The sequence below is a fragment of the Homo sapiens genome, chromosome 12 (assembly GCF_000001405.40).
Source record: "Homo sapiens chromosome 12, GRCh38.p14 Primary Assembly".
Taxonomy (NCBI): domain Eukaryota; kingdom Metazoa; phylum Chordata; class Mammalia; order Primates; family Hominidae; genus Homo; species Homo sapiens.
Window position 1 is genome coordinate 75,307,134 of NC_000012.12, and position 21,202 is coordinate 75,328,335.

General features: G+C 33.5%; 1 protein-coding gene across 33 annotated transcripts in view; it reads right to left on the bottom strand.

The window, feature by feature from the left end:
- The window catches only part of CAPS2 (calcyphosine 2), a 114,923-nt gene that overhangs the window by 31,155 nt on the left and 62,566 nt on the right, over positions 1-21,202 (bottom strand). For 13 of the 33 annotated variants that reach the window (XR_944789.2, XM_047429730.1, XM_047429727.1 and 10 more), the window contains 7 exons: positions 19,285-19,394; positions 18,106-18,155; positions 16,044-16,089; positions 15,841-15,954; positions 14,267-14,443; positions 9,179-9,301; positions 5,715-5,782 (listed from right to left, as the gene is read on the bottom strand). Coding sequence is in view for 25 of the 33 variants with exons in the window: in XM_047429727.1 (XP_047285683.1) it covers positions 5,715-5,782; positions 9,179-9,301; positions 14,267-14,443; positions 15,841-15,954; positions 16,044-16,089; positions 18,106-18,155; positions 19,285-19,394 (688 nt within the window). In the remaining 8 variants the exon portion in view is untranslated. Of the gene's footprint in view, positions 1-5,714; positions 5,783-9,150; positions 9,302-14,266; positions 14,444-14,660; positions 14,786-15,840; positions 15,955-16,043; positions 16,104-18,105; positions 18,156-19,284; positions 19,395-21,202 lie in introns of those variants that run through there. The other 20 variants (NR_149156.2, NR_149159.2, NR_149160.2 and 17 more) reach the window with 10 other exon arrangements.

A 21,202-nucleotide genomic window follows, 5' to 3' on the forward strand; every position in this document is an offset into this window, starting at 1 on the left:
CTGTGTAGCCCTATCTGGTCATTTGGCTCTGGGCCAAAGTTTTCTCATTAATAAAAGAAAGAATATTGGTGTCTCCCACACAGAAAGGCTGTGAAGATTAAATAAATTAGTTAACATATACATATTGTTTAGGAGAGTACCTATAATCTACTAAGTATTATAGAAGCACTCAATAGTTGAGGCTTTGCCTCCGAATTCCCCTTTTACTGCATATTTTACTGAATAGGAATAAATATAGAGGCATGATAACCCATCAGGTGGCATTGCAATGGGCTAGAAAAGTGATAGTAAGGGTCTGCACTAAGGTGGCAGTAAACACACAGTTTGATCAAGGAAAAAAGATCCAGTGTTCCATAGATCAGTAGGGTGACTATAGTTACAATAATATATAGTACATTTTAAAGTAGCTAGGAGATAATAATTCAAATGTTTCTAACATACAGAAAAGACAAATATTTAAGGTTATGGATATTCCAAGTACACTGACTTGATCTTTACAAATTATATTGTTAAATTATCTCATGTACCCCAAAGCTATAAAATACATAAATACAAGAGAACACAAACAAAATATAATAATAAGTAAATAAATAGACAAAGTAGAAAGAACAAATTCAAGAAACACCAACAGAACTAGAAAACTAACTGGATTTGAGGTCACCAAGTAGAAAGATCTATAGTAACTGAACAATGTGAAATGAGATTCAATTAATAATATAAGGAACATAGGTGTCATTGTGTTTTTAAGGCAGAAGAATAGGGTCTGGAGGCAGGAAACCTAAGGTCCATTCACACTGACTTCCTAGAACTAAATCAAAAGGAAAATCCCAACTTTCCACACCCAAGTAACAACAGGACCAGAGGCTACTCCCTTTGCAACCACCCCCTTTTCCTGTGTGGCAGATGAAAAATTGAAAATACCTGATTGGTCCCCTCCCAAGACCAATCAGGATGGTTGTGGGCCAAGTCTAAATTTGCATAGAAGGCTAACTTTGTAACTCCCTTCAGCCTCTGATTGGTCACTTTCCATGACCAATCAGATGTTTGCATAGGGTGCAACTTTGTAACTTCACTTCAGCTTCTGATTGGTCACTTTCCACAACCAATTAGACTGATTGCAGGCCACTTCTTCATTTACATAGACAAAGTAGACAAAGTATGTAAATAGATAAAGTAGAAAGAAATGTATGTATGTATTTGTCATTACATACATTTACATGTACACCAAGTAACCAATGGGAAACCTCTAGAGGGTATTTAAGCCCCAGAAAATTCTGCAATCAGGCCCTTGAGCCACTTGCGTGGGCTGCTCCCACCCTGTGGAGTATACTTTCATTTTTAATAAATCTCTGCTTTTGTTGCGTCATCCTTTCCTTGCTTTGCTTTTGTGTTTTGTCCAATTCTTTGTTCAAAGTGCAAAGAACCTGGACACCCTCCACTGGTAATAGTTTTGATTTGTTATTGTTGTTATTAATATTATTTTAAGGGTAAGAATGACAGGTTATCCTCATATCCTTATGAGGCAGGAAAATAGGGGAAATGAGGCAGGAAAATAGCAAAAGGAATTAAAAGTTGGATAAAGAACAGAATGAGTAAAAGCATGAGAGCAGAAACAAGGTGAAGGGGTGACTGAGCAAGAAGCGAGATAAGAAGCAGAGGTTCAGCAGCCAAAACAAAAGTGAGATTAAAAAAAATGAGTAAGGCGCTTGCAGTGAGCCGAGATCACACCACTACACTCCAGCCTGGGCGACAGAGCGAGACTCGGTCTCAAAAAAAAAAAAAAAAAAAAAGGGGGTAAGGAGCCCCCATGGCCAGCTACGTTTGGACCAAACCTGTCAGGGGCAGCTCCTCAGAGATGGGCATGCTCATTAAAAAGAAGTATGCTTAAAATGACCCAATATGGTAATTAGCTACTTAAGGTTCATGCATATGGACTGCATATCACGCATGTACTTAGAATTATGGGATGGAGATGACACACAAGCACACAAGGGCCAAATTAACTAAGCAGCATCTATCAATCAAAAGGCAGACACGGGCTAGAGATTAGGCATCCTTGGGAAGAGAAGAAAACAAAAAAAACACATAAAAGGACCCAAAGTACCAAACTAAGGTAGATTTCATCTCACAGAGCTCAGTCCGCTCCCCCACTCCAAGAGTGTAATATTTCACTTAATACACTTCTGCTGCTTTGCTTCGCTATCTGCGTGTGTCTCGTCCAGTTCTTTGTTCAGGACACCAAGAACCTGGAACTACACGGCACCATCCAGTAACACTTACTTTCCTCCTTAACCAGGTTGGGTTCCATGATTCATCAAAATATAATCCTGTACACACCTTTTAACAATCTTGCCCTCTCTGGCTTTTCCTACTTGCCTGACAATACCCTAAGTCTGAATAAATTTGATGATTAACTGGATAAAAGAATAAATGAGTAGACATTTTTTAAAGGGTATCATGAACCTTCAAAACTATGAAAATGAAACAACAATTCAAAGATAGAAGAACTTATGAATTTATTGAGTTATTTCAATTGCTGGAACATTCAGGAAAAGCTTTAGTCATCTCTACCATATACTGTAGATTCTGTTCATTTGTGTGCCAAGTTAGGAACTAAATCTTCTTTTTAAATTGAGCATTAAGATATTTTTTAAACCCCCAAATGAAAAAGGCTGGCATTTATAAAAAAGTGGCACCTATTCTATTCTCACACTTTATTTATCAGTTCTGTGTTAAATATACATACACAGAATGTTAGAGTTATAAGAAATCTTAATGTTAATTTGGCAGAAGCAAAAATCAAGACATAGAGAAGGAAAATATGAAACCTCAAACAGCAAATTAGTCACATAGCTAAACCTAAAACCAAATTCTGCTGACTGCATTTAAGTCCTCTTTTCCAGTTCATTCATTCATTTACCTATTCAACAAGTTTTACTATACAGCTACTAGACTAGGCAATGGGAGTGTAATAGTGAGCAAAACTTCCAAAGTGCTCTGCCCTCATGAAGCTCACATTCTGAAGAGGCTGAAAGATAATTAACATGATAAACAGAGAAAATACAACATGAATTACATGCCCCTATGGAAGAAAAAAAGAAATGGTAAGAAGATACAAAGTTTTGAGAAAGGCATCATAAATTTATTTATGGTCAATTTATTTATTTAAATGTATTTATGGTTTATTTATGGTAAGGCCAAAGTAGGCCTCACCAAGGTGACTTCTAAGTAAAGATATGAGCTAAAATGAGTAAGCAGACATATAAATTTCTGGGGAAAAGGCATTCCAAGAAGAGGGGAAAATAAATGCAAAGTACCTAAGACAGGAATGGAACCTGGTATGTTCCAGAACAGGGATAAGTCAAATGGCTAGAGGAGAATAGGTAAGAGGGAGAGAAGTCCAAGGTCCAAGGTCCAATGGTGGGCTTGGATAGACTGTGTTATTGGCCTGAATTTTTTAGTAATCCTGATCCATTTCCTTGCTATGGCCTCATTAAAGGTGGTATGCACTTTCTCACCCCTTGACCTTGAGCTTTTGACTTGCTTTGGTCAGTTACACACAGTTATACGACTCTGCTAATCTCAACTGAACTAAGTCATGCAAATGCGGATTGGTTGGAAATCTGTTTATCTAGGATGGTTTCAGCTAAGTAGCTCAGTGGCATTTGTAGAAGGACCTTTTTCTTGAGACTACCAGGCTAGCCAAGCAGTGTTCTTCTCTCAAAGGTAGCAGAAGCACTAAAGGGCAAATGGAAACACATGAGATCATTTAAAGCCTAAGATCAAACCTAAGACCATTGCTTTTGCTCATATACAACTGGTCAAAATAAAAAGTAAGGCCCTTCCAGCCATGGCAAGCCTTGATAGCTAACCTAAAGACACATGAGCAAAAATTACTGTTCTTTTAAGCTACTGAGTTTTGTGGTGACACATAATTAATACGTGAGCCTCGTAGGCTTCACTATGATTAAAATGAGAAATTCCTGGAAGGTTTTATCTGGCTTGCCTTTTAATGGATTAACTACGGGGTGCCGGGTTGAAAATAAACCAGTAAGAGGCAAATGCAGAAACAATGAGGCCAGTTAAGCAGTCCCTGAAATAATCCAGGAGACACACAAAATAAGTTTGAACAGGATGGTGGCAGCAGAGGGAGTAAATCTATGTTGATAGCAGGACTGAGCATGTTTGTTGACAAGCTGGATATAGTATTTGAGAGAAAGAAAGGGATCAAAATATCACCAGGATTTTAGGTCTTAGTAACATGAAGAATTGAGTTACTATGGAGGAAAATTAAAGATTTGGTCATGGAGGAAGAGAGGGCAATAAAATTTCAGACACCCAGATTGGAGAAAGTTAAATTGAAATCTTAGAGAAGCATCAGAATATAGCTGGTTTTTAAAGGCATGATACTGGATGAGATCACTTAAAAAGCAAACACAAAAGAGGTCCAATAACTGAGCTGTTGGGCACACCCACGTAGGGAAGATGAAGAAGAACCAGGAGAGATTCTGAGAAGGGGAGAAAGGTAGGAGAACAGTCACGTGTCACGTGCAGGAAGCCATGCAGGAAAAAAAAAAACAAAAAAAAAAACAAAAAAAAAAAAAAAAACCTGCCTCAAAGAAAATAAGGTTTCAAATGAGACAACTGCTGCAGATGGGTCAAGTAAACGAGAACTGAGAAATCATTAGTCTAGCAATATGGATGTCACTACTCATGGAAAAAAGTTGTTGGAGGCATGGATGGTGGAGGTGAAAACACTAAGTTCATGAGACAATGGAAGGAGGGACATGGGAGACTCTAGGTATAATTATTTCAAAGAATTTACTGAAAAACATGCATGTAGAAACAGCCACCATTATTTCTGTCATGCATTCTTTCTGCCACACAACTAAACAGTTTTTTCAAAGCTAAGTCTTACTTTTTCCTTGAAGTAGATTATTCCAACCTCTTCAGAAATTCTAGCATAGTTCCATATTATCAAGCAATTCAGCACTGCATATGTTAAAACTTTAGTTTTCTAAGGGGTTTTAAAATTCTTAACAGTCTCACAGTTCTTGAACTGCACCAAGGAACCCTGAGGTACCACAGTGAACTCACAGGGGTACTATGGGATATTTTTAATTTTTGAGGGAAACTCAGTGATACTTGACATCACTTGCACATCAAGTAAACTACTAGTTCAGCCTCAGGGTAGTTCACAGTTTCAACAAGACAGCACACTATACTCCTTCAATGATGTTACATCTTTGCAGAGCTGAGTTTTCTATAGTTGCTATGATAAAAAGCAAATATCAGGTGAAAATCAATATGGAATATAAAGTGAAAGTGGCAGCATTGTAAATGATTCTAGGATTTGAGACACTGTGCAGTGCCCATAAGATGCATACAGATCCTTAGTAAGAATAAAGTAAGGATATCTTCTTTCAATTTATGTGTATTATTTTTTTAAATGGTCATTAGTTGTTAGGAAATAAATATTTATTAAGTTGTTTAGAGAAAAATATTTAACAAATAGAACTGTTAGGTATTTCTATTCGTCTAAGAGTGCTGTGAAAAAAAATGACTAAAACACTAACGGTGCAGTAAACAGAGAAAGTTTGGGAACCTCTGAGTTAGCCACCCTTTAATTGACCAAGGATATGAATGTCATGCATGAAAATAAATTTAATGAAAACTTTCTGAATTGATTTCTATTACCAGTTGCTAATTCTCACCTAGATAAGTGGTCTATCATCACTTGCTCTGCAACAATCTGTTTCTTCTTCTCTGCAGCCACAATTTCCTGGGAAGATTAAATAAAGACAACTTCACCATCCATAAAGCAGAACCATACAATACTTAACACAAAAGTTCTAAAACATAAATTAAATATCTCTGATTTCCGTCTTAGATATAGATGGAAATAGATTACTATTATAGATTATAGATTACTTTCCATCATTACTAAATTTAAATTTCAATCATTTAATCTACAAATATCATTTATTTTCTAAGAAATAATACACTTAAATTTCAGTAAAAATCATCAGAATTTTCATGAGCTGCCTTTGCATTTTATGGAGCAGACTAAAGGAGAAAGAGACTATGGCATCCTTCCACTCTATTCCTCCCCTCAAGAGATGTCCTGCAAAAGGCATCTTAACCTGCTCCAAGAAGGCTACCAACACTGACACAAAATAAGCTTCGTCTAACACTATTCATAGCAAAAGAAGGCAAAACTGAGTTTGAATTGTTTGACCTTTCATAAAATATCCAAAACAAGGAAAAACAAACAAAAACTCTCCTCATCAAAAGTATAATATTTTCTCTGCATATAATGCATCAATAATATTTAATAAACTTTTCTCAATTACTAGCTTGATTAAGCTTTCTTAATACTATTTTTCACTTTTCCAATTCCTCTTAAACTATTTTTACTATTTTTTAGGTCATATCTAACTGAAATACTGGTAATCATTTAATTCAAATTATATTATCCTGCAACTATAATGACTAAAATGTATCTTTAGAAAGGTAAATAAAAGAGGTTAAAAAATTAAGAGGTCAAAATAAAGCTTGTTCTATTTTTAGAATGTAAATTACTGTCATCCCCATTGATCACTCCAATAAATGAAATTAAGATAGAGGCTTTGTAACCTTAGAAAAAGTGCTTTATTTAAAATTGAGACAAAATATCAAATAAGAATGTCTAAAGACATATCATAAAAACAAAAAGTAAAAACTTGTAAGAAAATCGGAAAAGTTGGGCACAATTATTTAAATGCTATTTAGCCTACACTAAATTTAGTTTTTTTGGCTTTTTTTGAGACAGGCTCTTGCTATGTTGCCCAGGCTGGAGTGCAGTGGCACTACCACAGCTCACTGCAACCTCCGCCTCCCAGATTCAAGTGATTCTCATGCCTCAACTTCCCGAGTAACTGGGACTACAGGTGTATGCCACCACGGCTGGTTAACTTTTGTATTTTTAGTAGAGACGGGGTTTTACCATGTTGGCCAGGCTGGTCTCGAACTCCTGGTCTCAAGTGCTCCACCAGCCTCTGCCTCCCAAAGTGCTGGGACTATAGGTATGAGCCACCATGGCCAGCCTAAATTTAGTTTTAATAATAATGTTAAACCAAAATTTAATAAGAATGTTAAAACTAAATTTAACGTAGGTTAAATAACACTCTTATTTAGCCTATATTATAGGCTACATAATGTAGGTTATTTAACACTTTCATTTATTGATAATGTTTAAATTATTATTAAACACTGTTATTTAACATTATTTAAATATTATTTAGCCTACACTGAATCTAGTTTTTTGGTTTGGTAGAAATTCAAAATGTGTAGTTTACACATTTAATATGTCCTATATAAAGCTTATGTTATTTAATACATCTTGTGTCACTCTCTAAGCTCATGATGCTTTATAAGATTTTTATTTAGTAATAAATTTAAAACAGCAATTAAAATGTTTAAAAATTAGCACAACCTCAAAGTAAAGCAAGGTATTTTTTTAATATCTAAGAGTGATTCATAAAGTGGACACTGACTAAAACATTAAAATTATACACAGAAAAGATCCACATCGGCTGAACACAGATGTAAAACCCAGACAGAAACCAAAGAGGGGAGATTAATTAACACCATAGAGCCCATGCAGAAAGCCCATCTTCAGTGTTGAAGCTTGTGGTGGTTTATACTTTGTAGGAAAGGTTAGAACCCGTAGGCACACTGATTTAGAGATCTGTGTAAACATAAAGCAGATTACAAGCAGAAGTGACACTGATGGAAGGATCTGTCAACACTACAAAATGACAAAGGAGCTAGATGAGATGGACACAAAATCCGTAGTTTCACTGCTTCTATTGTCACTTAAGTAGTTTAAAATTAAATAAAGAAGTTTTCACCTACATTTTAAAACAAATAGGTGCTAATTTCAGATGCCCTGAAAGCTTACTCATGTAAACGTTTCCTTAGGGGAAGGAGGAGACAGTTAAATGAGTACTATCAAAATAAAATAAAACTTGATAATGAATTTAGATACATTGCTCCTAATAATGTAGTTGTAAGGAAAAGAAATCCATTAACATCCAGATTGCTTTGAATTACATCAAGAACAATACCCAATGAGCCTTAATTATTGCAATACCCATTTCAAATATAACTTCAGGGATATATCAAAATAAGCCTGAATTGAAACACTATTTTCCTTATAAAGTAGCTTTTTTAATTTTTAGGATAATCCTGATAATATTCATTCTATTAAACATAAATATCCAAGTAATAATAGGCACCAAAAAAATAATGTGCATGTGGTTTAAGTAAAAGAACTCACAAATTTGCAACTTGGGACATCCACAGAAAATCAGTTCACGTAGTCCAGAGATTGATTATATATTACTGTTAATTCAGAACATAATTGATTCTGGATGATTGTGACCCAAATAAAATATATATTGAATTGCCACTCAATGATAATAGTAATGTAACTAACTAAATCCATATTGCTTTGTTACTATTTATGCTATTGAAACCAGAGTTTTCCCAACTTGTGATCCACCACACTGGCATTCCAACAATCTGTTATAAGTATGCCTAAGACATTAATCACTTGGGTTTCTGGGGTGGTCAGTGACCTCCAACTCCAAGCAGCTTGGTCCCTTACCCCAGAACATTACAGAAATGTTTTAATTATCTGTTTGTGCCAGAACTGGTCTAAACCATACTTGCCAACCTAATTGATTCTGTAAAAGACATAATTTAAAGTTAATATTGAGCATCTGGAGTTTCTTTTCCTAAAAAAGAAAAATAACTTATTTCTGGAATTTCCTTAACTGGCCTGAATTTATCTAATGTTAGGAGCTCATTACTTCAAAAAAATAACCAGGCTGCTTTTTTGGGGGAGGGGGTGACACCAAATAAACTCACTAACATAAATAGCAGCCAACTCACATTTTGAACAGTATAAACTAAATTTTTCAAACACCTAAAGATTCCAGACAATTTTTTTACAGAATATATACCAAATACAATTCAATCATTTATAAAAATGAGGACTCAATTTTCCATTAATGAATATTCACCCGAGTTCAAATTCAACTGTTGCAATTATTTATTCCATTCAGTCTTTAAAATCTTAGAAAGCAAATAAGATTAATGGCTCACCAAATAAGTAAAAATGCTGACAACTTACTGCATCCAATTTTCTTGCCCTCTGTTGTTTATCGCAAGAGTTGTCTGCATAACCTTGCTGTAAGATGGCTTTCCTATCCAGAGTCGTAAGGTCATCTGTGTTGGCTTCTTCATCTTGCACACACTATGCATGAAAGAAATAAATGAAGCATCATACACATATTTAGAATGTTTGTTTTTAACAAAATATGGGAATAGATAACTACGGAATATCTCAGTGACTATTTGTACAACAGTTAAAAGTACAGGCTCTGAAAATCAGATTGCTTATATTTGAATCCAGCTCTTCCACTTGCCCGCTAGGTGACCTCTCTGTGCCTCAGGTGACTTATAGATAAAATGCGAATTAATAATAGGAACTACTTCCCCAGAAACAAAAAGGATTAAGAGATATACATGTCCAACACTTTATAAAAACTACTTGACATAGTAAGCATTAAATAAAAGTTAGCAGCTATTATAATTATTATTGTCCAATTTGAATCTTTGAAAAATTAATAAATGTGGGCATGTCTACTCCATTATAAAATTAAATTCAGAAATAAAATACTAAAAGATGAGTGTAACCTTTGAGGTAAAAGATTCTTTGGGATGCTAAAGAGATAAATACCAAATTGTTCTTTGACTATGCGTTTACGCTACCCCAGCAAAACAAAAAAAAGTTTCCAATAAAATAGCAACTTTTCAAAAACTTAATAGATTATAAGATTTCTTCCCCCCAGGGCTTATTCTTACTTTAGATCTTCCTTGAAAGGTCACACTCTATCTTAATACTCCTCTCTGTCTTTATGACCTTTGATTGCTATATAAAATTTTGTTATATATATTTAGGATTTATTGCTTGCCTCTCCTAATGTAAGTTCCATGAAAGCAGGAACCTTGTCTGTCATTTTTATTGCTGTATCGCTGGTGGCAGAACAGGATAACACAAAGTGAGCACTCGATAAATATTTATTCAATAAATGAATAATGAATCTCGCTTAGGTATTTAAAAATCAATTTATGAAGATACTTTATCATTTTATTTATTTACCCACTAATATACTTCTTTCTAAATAGCGATTTATTTAAACAGGCACCAAAAAGATGCTTAGCATTTATAGGTAAATTAAGCAGATTAATTTAATGCATATATTTAAATATAAGCAAAGCATTGTATTTTGTTCAGGTTGAAAACACTTTCGAAATAATTTTATTTTGTGTCAGCTTGTTTTCAACCTTTTACAAAAGGAAAACTGATATTTCCACTTAATATTTCAAATTCAACCTTCCAAAATCAGACTTCCTTACAGTCTTCCCCTACCTCCAGTTAATGGTAACCCTCTTAGGCCAAAAGCCTTAGATCCATTGTTTTTTTATGTTAAAATATTTAACTGACATTAAAAATTGTAAATATGCAATGTGTACAGTATGATGATTTGATATACATATAGATTATGTAATCATTATCACAATCAAATTAATTAATACATCCATCACCACACATAGTTACCATTTGTATTTGTCTGCGTATATGTGTGTGTGTGTCATTAAGACATTTAAAATCTGCCTTCTTATCAAATTTCTAGGAAAAAAAATACAGTACAGTATGATTAACTATAATCACCACAAATACAGTAGTTCCTCAGAACTTATTTATCTTATAACTGAAAGTTCACATCTGTTCACCAAGTCCCCATTTTCCCAACCCCTCCCCCCGAGTCCCTGGCAACCAATATTTTACTCTCTGCTTCTGTGGGTTCAACTATTTTAGAGTCCACATATAAGTGAAAACATAGAGTATTTGTCTTTCTGTGCCTGGTTTAATGTCCTGCACATTCATCCTTGTAGAGTCATTCTCGGTCTTCCCTTTCTCTCAAGTCTATAACCAATCCATTCAAAAATCTTCTTAGCCCTACCTTCAGAATCTGTCAACAATATGACTTTGTGAGGCACTACGAAGTTCCAAGTCTGAAGCTACCATCACCTAGGTCCAAGCTATCATCGTCAAATTTTGCCTGGATTATTGTGACAGTCTCCTCAAAGGTCTTCCTGCTTTTATCTTTGTCCTATTCTCAATAAAGCCCATCCTCAAAAGAACGAAGTAGCTTTCTGCCTCACAGAAAAAGGCAAAGTCCTCCCTTGGCTTGCGTGGCGTCCCTGATCTGCCTCCCAAACTCCCTTTAACTCTCTTACCAACCTCCTTCCTTCTCTCCCTTGCTCTCCCTCCTTTGACCACACTGTCCTCCTCAATATTTCTTAAACACTCCTACTTCATGACACAGAGTTTCTCTTGACTAGCCTGCTCCTCAGGTGTATGCTAAAATGCTATCTTATCTAAAGGTCTCCCCTGTGATCCTATACAAGCTGCTATCCCATACCCAAAGCCCTGACTTTCCTAGATCCCTTCTATACACCACACTTTTCACCATGTGTCATACAAGCTGGGTTGACTGATTAATCATTCCATTGATTGATTTTTTTTTTCTCCTTGCCATTTCCTTCCATTAGGATATAAGCTCTTTAGAGGCAGAAATTTTTGTCTGTTTTATTCACTGACTTACCCCCAGTGCCTGGACAGGGGTATTGCATAAAGTTAAGCATTCAGTAACTATGTGTTGAAAGAATAAATAATAAATGAATAAATTATATTGATCATTTCTAAAACTAAAAGTTTTTTAGAGTGAAAAAAGAGGTATTTGAAATGAATAATGATAGGTACAATTAGGAAATAAAGATTATTTTCTACAAAATTGCAGTTTAATGATTTTCATGTTTAATTTCAAGATGTCTCATTATTTTAAAAATATATATGTACACATAAGTTTGCATTTTAGGTAACAAAACAATCTGACAACAAGAGATTTATCACCTTTTATAGTAAGTGGAAGGAAAACACAGCAAAGGAAATTTACCATTAGAATTGCCATGGTTTGGATGTTTGTCCCCTCTAAGCCTCATGTTGAAATTTAATCCCCAATGTTGGAGTGGTGTTTGGGTCATGGAGGTCGATCTCTCGTGAATAGATCAGTGTTGTCCCCTTGGAGGCGAGTGAGTTTTCATTCTATTATTTCCCAAGAGTGCTGGTTGTTCAAAAGAGCCTGGCACCTTCGCATGCTCTCTTGCCTCCTATGTTGCTATGTGATCTCTGCACATGCTGGCTTCCCTTGATCTTCCGTCATAAGTAAAAGCAACCTGAAGCCCTTAGCAAGTGCCTAATCTTCAACTTTCTAGCCAACAGACTCATGAAGCCAAATAAACCCTTCTTTCTTTATACATTACCCAGCCTCGGGTATTTCTTTATAGCAACACAAAATGAACGAAGACAAGAATCAAGTAGAGTCAAACTTCTATTTTGCAGTTCAACTGATTATCAGTTGACTCATGTATCATACTGATTAGTTAGCAATGATAGCCTTTAGTTCTTGCCCTGGATCCTAAATATTTCTAATTTTAGCTTTGCTTTACCAGTAAAGAGAATCAATTTACATGTTGATCTCTGCTTTAAAGAGGGGCTTATATTTCTGATATCAGGGATGTCTTCTGTTTCCAGAGATTACTAGTGTTAATTCATGTAATTGTAACAGAATTTACTACTAGGCCATTTATATAGCAGTTTTGATTCTCATAATGGTATACATTTGAAAAGATATCAAGTAAGTTCCTCAAACCCCTTAAGTACAAAATTATTATACAGAGAATCTACAGAAATGCTTTTTAACTAGAAGTTCTTCTATAAGACCACTAAAAACATATTAAACTTAATAATTTCACACCTTTAATATAGATTCTAAAAAATCAGTGGCAAAATAGCATATTTTCCAGAAGAATTTATGTGTATATTGGCTTCTATAAAGCTCTTTATTCTTATTATATACTTACCAATTTTATGGAAATATCTGCAAATAAAATTTGTTTTTCTCTTAAACCAAAAGTAAAAAAAGTCCTCATTTGAATTTGCATTCAAGGAAATAAAAGTTTTACTTAAAAAATATTTTGAACAATTTTGCTGCCACTCAGTAAGGCATGTGCTTACAGAAACCTTCATTCCGTTTTCCCAACATCTGTACAGTGATCTAAATATCATTTGGTATATCCTGCAAACAATACATGGTGAGATGCTAAAAGGTTATGAAATTATTTTGCCTACTATTATAGACACCAGATTATCATATTTCTGTGTTTATATTTGGGTCTGGAAAAATGTTTTCAAAATAAGAAAGATCAAATAATCCCATTAATTTTGTTACTCTTTCAGCTAATCACTGTGTGATTTATTTAATTCTAGATAGTTCCTACATGGATTAAAAAATAGCTGAAATGTCATACCCACTTATAAATTTATTATTATTTACCTACAGGAAAATGCTAAGCAAATACAACATTAAAACGTCCCTGGAAACACATTACTCTTATAGAAAGTTAACTGAATTAAAAATTCTATTAAAATTAAAATTAAAAATTATCTTCTTTATGGCCACTAGTATCATGTTTTTCAAATTATTCCTTCTAAAAATCAAGATTGACTTTTTCTGTATGATTATGAAAGCATTACAATTACTATGTTTAATTTATTATTATATTCATTAATAGTGAATTTATACCTAATATTACATAAAAACATAACAATTTCAGCAACACATGATGTTAAAAAATCATTTCCCATAATGAGACAAAAGACAGTAATGAAGTGATGGTAGTTTTTGCACAAACCAGGATCACCATAAAGTCTCAAATCACTTATCAATTTTAAAATTTAGACTGTCAGACCAACTGAGTTCAAGACAGCTACGTCAACAAAATACATAATACTGTCTTATTTCTAATCCCAAGGTACGTGAAAAACTTCTAACAGAGAAAAGGTGACAAAACTATATGGCTATAACTTTTTTGTCAGAAAATGATGACAATAACCCTTTAAATTTGTTGTGAAAAACAAACTAGTCAATGTAAGTAAAATATTTACAACAGTCCTTGATATGCAGAAATAAATGTTAGCTATTATACTTATTATGACTAATAGCAAGATATGTCACACAAAAAGAGATTTCTGTAATATGTGCAGTTTTCTTTAAATGTCATTAGAATTTTTTAAAGCCTCATACATTACCTTTTCATCTATCTTGTTTCTTGGAGACTGTTTATGTGTAACATTTGATTTTGTATTTTCTGCATTTCTCTGACTATACTGCTTATAGCCCTCTTTAATTTCAGTTTTACATTGCTGATATTTTAGTTTACATTTGTCTGTTGGTGCTGGCAAATTTTCAGGTATTATGTTCTGATCCTATAGGTAAAAAGAAAAAAGCATGCTATCAGAAAAAAAAAGTATTAATTTTCCTTATTGGCATTAACAGGTTTACCTCTTACCTTAGCATCCATTCCTTAAAAATGACCATTATAGTCAATGTTCTAAGCAGAGATGGTATTTAAGACATTCAACTGGTACAGACAGCATCACTGACCAATCAGAGCAGACAGAACTGCTCGGAATGGGCACTTACCTTAAATACCAGTAAGCTTATACCTTGTTTCCTAGCTGAAGATCCATTTAAGAGGAGAAAAAATGACTTATCTTTCTTCTTAGGAGTTTTAGATAAAGCTTTTCTTCTGCCCCAGAAGAACTTCACTGTAAATCATTTTTTTCATAATAGATAGAGCAATTGAAGATCATTAATACTGAGAAGGATTGGTTGTCATTTCTAGAATATCAATATATTCTATCTATTTGCAAACATGGAAATATTTGCAAATAAAATTTGTTTTTCTCTTAAACCAAAAATAAACAAATGTCCTCATTTGAATTTGCATTAAGGAAATAAAAGTTTTACTTAAAAAATATTTTGAACCATTTTGCTGCCACTCAGTAAAGTACGTGCTTACAGAAACCTTCATTCTGTTTTCCCACTATCTTTACAGTGACCGAAATATTATTTGGTTCCCTACCACATTTCCATGCGAGTGAGAGATAATAAGAGTCAGTGGATAAGAGAAACCTAAAAGAAGTGCTATACAAATACAAGGGCATATTGTATTGACCTAGGGAGGGACAGGCACTCCAAAACGAGCTTTTTATAAAGCCAGTCCAACCCTTGAAAAGTGTTGAGGATAGTCATGTCTAACCCACAGGAGAAGGATGAAGCAAAGCTTCAGGGTATTATTTATGCAATTTTCCAAAATGAAACTAAGAACATGAATAGAGTCAGCTGTATGAAAAGACTAACAAAAACAGAAAAGCCCTACACCTATACTAGTCAGAATCTATATTCAAATTGTGAGCAAAACACTAGATATGTTTGAAGCATAAACATGTCTCAAGGAGACAATCTGGAATGAGCATAGCTACTTACTCCATAGTATCCCAGCAGCCTAAAGCATGAATCAGTTTCCAAGAGACCAGTCTTACATTGCTTAAGCAGCAAGATCTGATCTAAGAGCTTGCCATATTTTTAAAATTCCTCAATTCCATATTAGGATATATGTGTACTTTACCAATTTCATTTAAAAATTTTAAAATACCAATTTCCATGTGCGACAAAATGTAAAACAAGTAAAAATTATTTCACCAACCTTATGGTTTGGTATTTAAATACATAAAATATTTAAACTTGGCAAAACATAGACTGAACATAATAAATATTTTAGAATAAAATTCTGAAAATTGATAAGCAAATAAATACTAACCAATTTATTTAGATGATACTGAGTATATGGAGTTTGACATGGTGTGACCCAGCCAAGAGTAGAAGATGAATTTGGCAGGTTTGCTGTACTAAGTGGAATATATGAAAAATTGTCCTAAAAAATAAAGTTAATGATATTTCTTATATGCTATGTGTAATATTGTGTTTTAATGTTTATTATATTAAATACTAAATAAAAATTACCTCATCATCAGAGTCAACAAGGCTTCCCAAATCAAGTCGTGGGACCCTGAAAGACATAATCTATGTATCCCGTAACTTTTTAACATGAAACTTTAATAAATGCAAATCTTATATGTTACATGTTTTATAAATAGGTACACTGAAACCAATAGTGCCATGGCTTCTACTGGCTTGTGATAGGCTTTTGTTAAATGTTCAGTAATTTTTAACTGGTTGTTAAACACATCCATCATTAAAAATACATATAAATTTATAATTAAATTAAATTATATTAAATAAATACTTGGCCGGGCGCAGTGGCTTATGCCTGTAATCCCAGCACTTTGGGAGGCCGAGGCAGGCAGATCACCTGAGGTCGGGAGATCGAGACCAGCCTGACCAACATGGAGAAACTCTGTCTCTACTAAAAATACAAAACAAGCCAGGCGTGGTGACACATGCCTGTAATCCCAGCTACTGGGGAGGCTAAGGCAGGAGAATCACTTGAACCTAGGAGGCAGAGGTTGTGGTGAGCCGAGATTGCGCCATTGCACTCCAGTCTGGGCAACAAGAGTGAAACTCTGTCTCAAAATAAACAAATAAATAAATAAATACTCAAAATTCATCACTTCCTGATGATTTCACTGTACTTCACTATTATCTGTGCTCTAGAGATTATCTATGTATCTATGTTTATCCCGTCTCTATGGTAGTGTAATAGTGTGCATCTCTTTCCAATGCTGTGCTTAGTGATGTCATATAGGCACACTGAAACAGCCTTGATGGGATTATTTACACTGAAATTGGCAAATGCTACAAATAGGACTTGGTTTAATATTTGGTTCATTTCTGAAACTTTAACAAGTGGTGGAGAAAATGTTAATAATGCAGATTCAACCTAAAATTATATCATGTCTATACCTGTCACACAGTGAATAGCCCCAAAATACACTGAAGAAACATGGTTTTATATTGAAAACTATTATTTGACTCAGCCAAGAAATCACTCATGTCACTTTTTAAAGTAAATAAAAATATTAACCAATATTCATGTTGGAACTACACTAGTTCATCAGTTGCAACCATAGGTTAGCTAGAGATACAGAGTTCAGCAACAAAACAAAGAGACAATTCTGTGAAAATCTATTGGCTACATGGAATCTACGAGAGAGAGACTATGTATTTGATTAATATTTGTAAATTGATTGCTACACATCCTTTATATCAGTAAAAGCTATAATCAACTTAATATATGCTCAAATTTCTTTATAATAAACAAGTAAAATTTACAATAAACTTATAATACACCTTCAGAAAATCAGTCCTTAAACTTTTCTCTGCACACAACTGACACAGCCATTGTTACTTACTCGATATCTTGGATCTAGTGCTTGCACCTAACTCTATTCTTTATGTCAAGATGAGCATACAGGTAATCTATCACACAGAACCACATAAATGTTGATGTTTATTCATTTTGATCTTCAGAAATGTCAATATTGTGTGGTTCAGCTTAGTAAATTACTAAGTTTTTAATTTCTATTTTTAAAAAAGCTCTGTAATCTAAAATACTTGAAAGAATATAAAAATTATATTATTCCAAATTTTAAAAGTCAAAATAACATGCAACATAAAACATAAATTAATATACTCTAAACCAAAAATAAAATAATTTTAAGATTCATAAAATTGTCATACTCCTCAAAATTAAAGCACAGACATAATTATCCTTAAATTGATGCCAACTAAATGAATTATACAAGGATAAAAATTTACACATCTCTTTAATGAATGCATATAGCTGAATTTTCCAAATAAACAAATATTTTCACTTTTTCAGGAAAATGTAAAACATATTAAGGAAAATAAAAAACCAAAGAAGTATTACCTATAATTCTACCATCTTATCACAACAGCTATTTTAATTTTGGTATAGTAATTTTCAGGCTATCCATATGCATATAGATTTTTCTGTGGTTCACAATCATAGCTACATTTATAATTTTGCTTTGTTTTTTAACTAGTCAATGTATGTTATATATGTGCCCATTAAACAGTCCAAATGTGAAGAAACGTAACTTACACTGGTGGGCAAGAATTCTGGTTTGTCCATGACTCAGAAGTCCACCTTTGCTTTAATTAAAAAAAAAACTTTTTGAATCAGTATAAATATGAATATACCCTTTATACTTTAAGAGATACACAATAAGTCAATGCAATAAAGCTAATTATAATTTTTCTCAGTAAATTCTATATAATAAATACTTATTAAGCCCCTTCCTACTGTGCTTGAGACACAGATAAAAAGGCAAGTAAGACAGATAATCCCTAACCACATAGCACTCTGCTGGAGAAGACTTTCTCTCAAATAAACAATAATGGGAAAAAAAAGTCTATAACAGAGCAACTACATAGCAGTATGCCCAACCTACTCTAGGGAATTTAGGAAGCTTGTTTTTTTTTGTTTGTTTTTTTGTTTGTTTGTTTTGTTTTTTTCTTAAGGCAACCTTTAACAGGAGTTCTGAAAGATGAGGAGGAGTTAGCTAGATGAAAAGAGAAGAAAGAAAATTGGTTCAGCTAGGAAACAACTTGTACTGCACAGGCCTCCAGATAAGAGTTAGCATTTGGAAAGGGGTAAAATCCAGAGTGTGAGGGGGGGTAGGGCCAAGCTGTTACATTATAGTACAAGTTAGGGAACTTAGACCTTGTTTTTAAGGTAATGGGAAGACAGTGAAGGGTTTGACAAAGAAAGTAACAAACATGTATGTGTTTGTAAACATTCAATCTTATTGCCAAAAAAACTGCAAGTCATAAAAATTACAGCAAGCTTAGCCACCATGAAATAGAAGATATATATGAGTCTTAGGAAAACTTCAAGTTAATGAAAATAGAAAATAATTCACCCATCAGCACTTATACCCTATTTCTGAAATGTTATCTGACTTGTGCTTTTTTTGTGATATTAGTAGCAACCGTAAAAATTCCATTCTACTATTTTTCTTTTTTTATATTTTCCTTAAACAAATATTCTTAAATAACAATAATAATACAATAAGTTTAATTTTAAAAAATAAAACTAATTCAAGCAGTGGCAATTTTTCAAGTAATCATTATCTTCAATTTTGGTGGTTCCATTCTTCAAATCTAGGAAATGTTGATCCTAAATATCTGTGAATATAAGTAGTCATAAAACATGAAGAAAAGGTAAAAAAATTATTTATAAGTCATCCTGAAAGAAGAAAATTATATAGAGCTCACATACTTGTAGAGGCTTCTTTCTTCCAAAGAATGGCTGAATTTGGCTCCTAGAAGTGGCAGCAACTCCTTTAACCTCTAAATCCATTTGAGTTCCTGTGTTTATCATGCAGTATACTTTGAAAAAGGTAGAGTAAATGTTAAATGGTAATTCTTACTCTAATTTTAAATAAGTCATACAAATTACCTAACAAGTCTACCTGGAAAGAAATCATAAGGTTAATCACTTCTAGTGCTTTTACCAATATCAACTTTTTATAGGGCAATTACATTATGACCTGTGTTAGTATGAATAATGGGCCCCCAAAGAAGGCCATCTCTTAATCCTCAGACCCTGTAAATATACCACCTTACATGGCAAAAAGGACTTCAGATGTGTTTGAATTAAGAATTTTAAGATGGGGAGATTATCCTGGATTCTTTGGTGGGCTCAGTGTAACCACCAGAATCCTTGTAAGAGGGAAGCAAGAAGAACAGAGTGAGACAGAGAAGATGTAAGGATGGAAGCATAGGTCAGAGAGAGGTGAAGATGCTAGGCATTCTGGTTCTGAAGATGGAGGAAGAGGTCATGAGCAGCCTCCTGAAGGCAGAAGAGGCAAGGAATGGATTTTCCTATGGCGCTTCCAGAAAGAACCTGCCCTGTTGACAGCTCGATTTTAGCCCCTTAAGACTAATGTTGTACTTCTGACCTCCAGAACTATAAAATAATAAATTTATGTTGTTTTAAACCACTAAGTTTAAATAAATTTTTAGAGCAACAATAGAAAACTAATGCATCTCCCTCTTCTCTAATACCACCATGACATATACATTTATTTCCTTTACTCATTTCCCAAACCTTTATGAGTTTTGGTTTTGCCAGAGTAGGCTGATGAAAATATTTTTAACAAGCAGTATTCTTCATCTAGAACAAAGAATAAAATGGAGTAAATGGTCCAATTAGTAATAATGTGGTGATTGGTAAAAATGCTAACAAAAGGATATTGAAAGTAATCAACTTGCAAATATGTACAAAATAAAAATCAAATGAATATATTTCATTGAAATTTTTTATATTTTATACTTCACCTTTATATTACCAAGGATAATTTTACATTTAAATATTTATCCATACTTTTTCTATAGTCTTAGATTTATTTTAATAGTAAATTATTTCTGTTTTGTTTTTTAAAGGAAAGATAGCATGGCATCCTGCCAGCTTGGAATTAGACAGACATACATTGTAATCCTGATTTTTGCCATTTTCTTATAATTTAAGTTTGAGTAAAAACTTAATCTCTATGAACCAATGTTTCTATGTAATATGTAAAATGAATTTAATGTTAGTAATTTTCCTGGTGGAATAATGTAACATTCAATAAACGGTAGCCATCATTATTATTACAATATACTTTATTTATTAAAATTAAGTATATTTATTAAAATTATTAAAATATACTTTATTTATAAAATTAATAAAATATATTATTAAAATATACTTTTATTTCATGCCCAGTGAAAGATATCCCAATTCCTTACTAATTTATCTACATGGTTCTCTTCACCCCATCCCTAGAGCTTCTTCCTCTAAAAATTCCTTGCCATAAGCTTGGAACTCCACTCTAAAGTCAAGGAGACTTATCAACCAATAGTAAACATATTCTGAAAAAAAAATACAAATCATTAGATTCAAAAATTCTCCTATAGCACTACAGATGGCTTTCTTTCCAGAGCTATTTTTCACAAAGAAGCAACTTTTAAAAGTTGCTGTTGTTTTGTTTTGGAGGCCAGGGTTGGGTTGGTTGTTTAATCACACAAATTATTGTATTCGCGATGATGATTTCTGGCTAACAAACCCAAGTTGAGATAAGGACGCTGAACAATCAGCAAAGTGATTTTCTCCACACATCAGTCTCTCAATTATTTATATCCTAGTAACATTTATA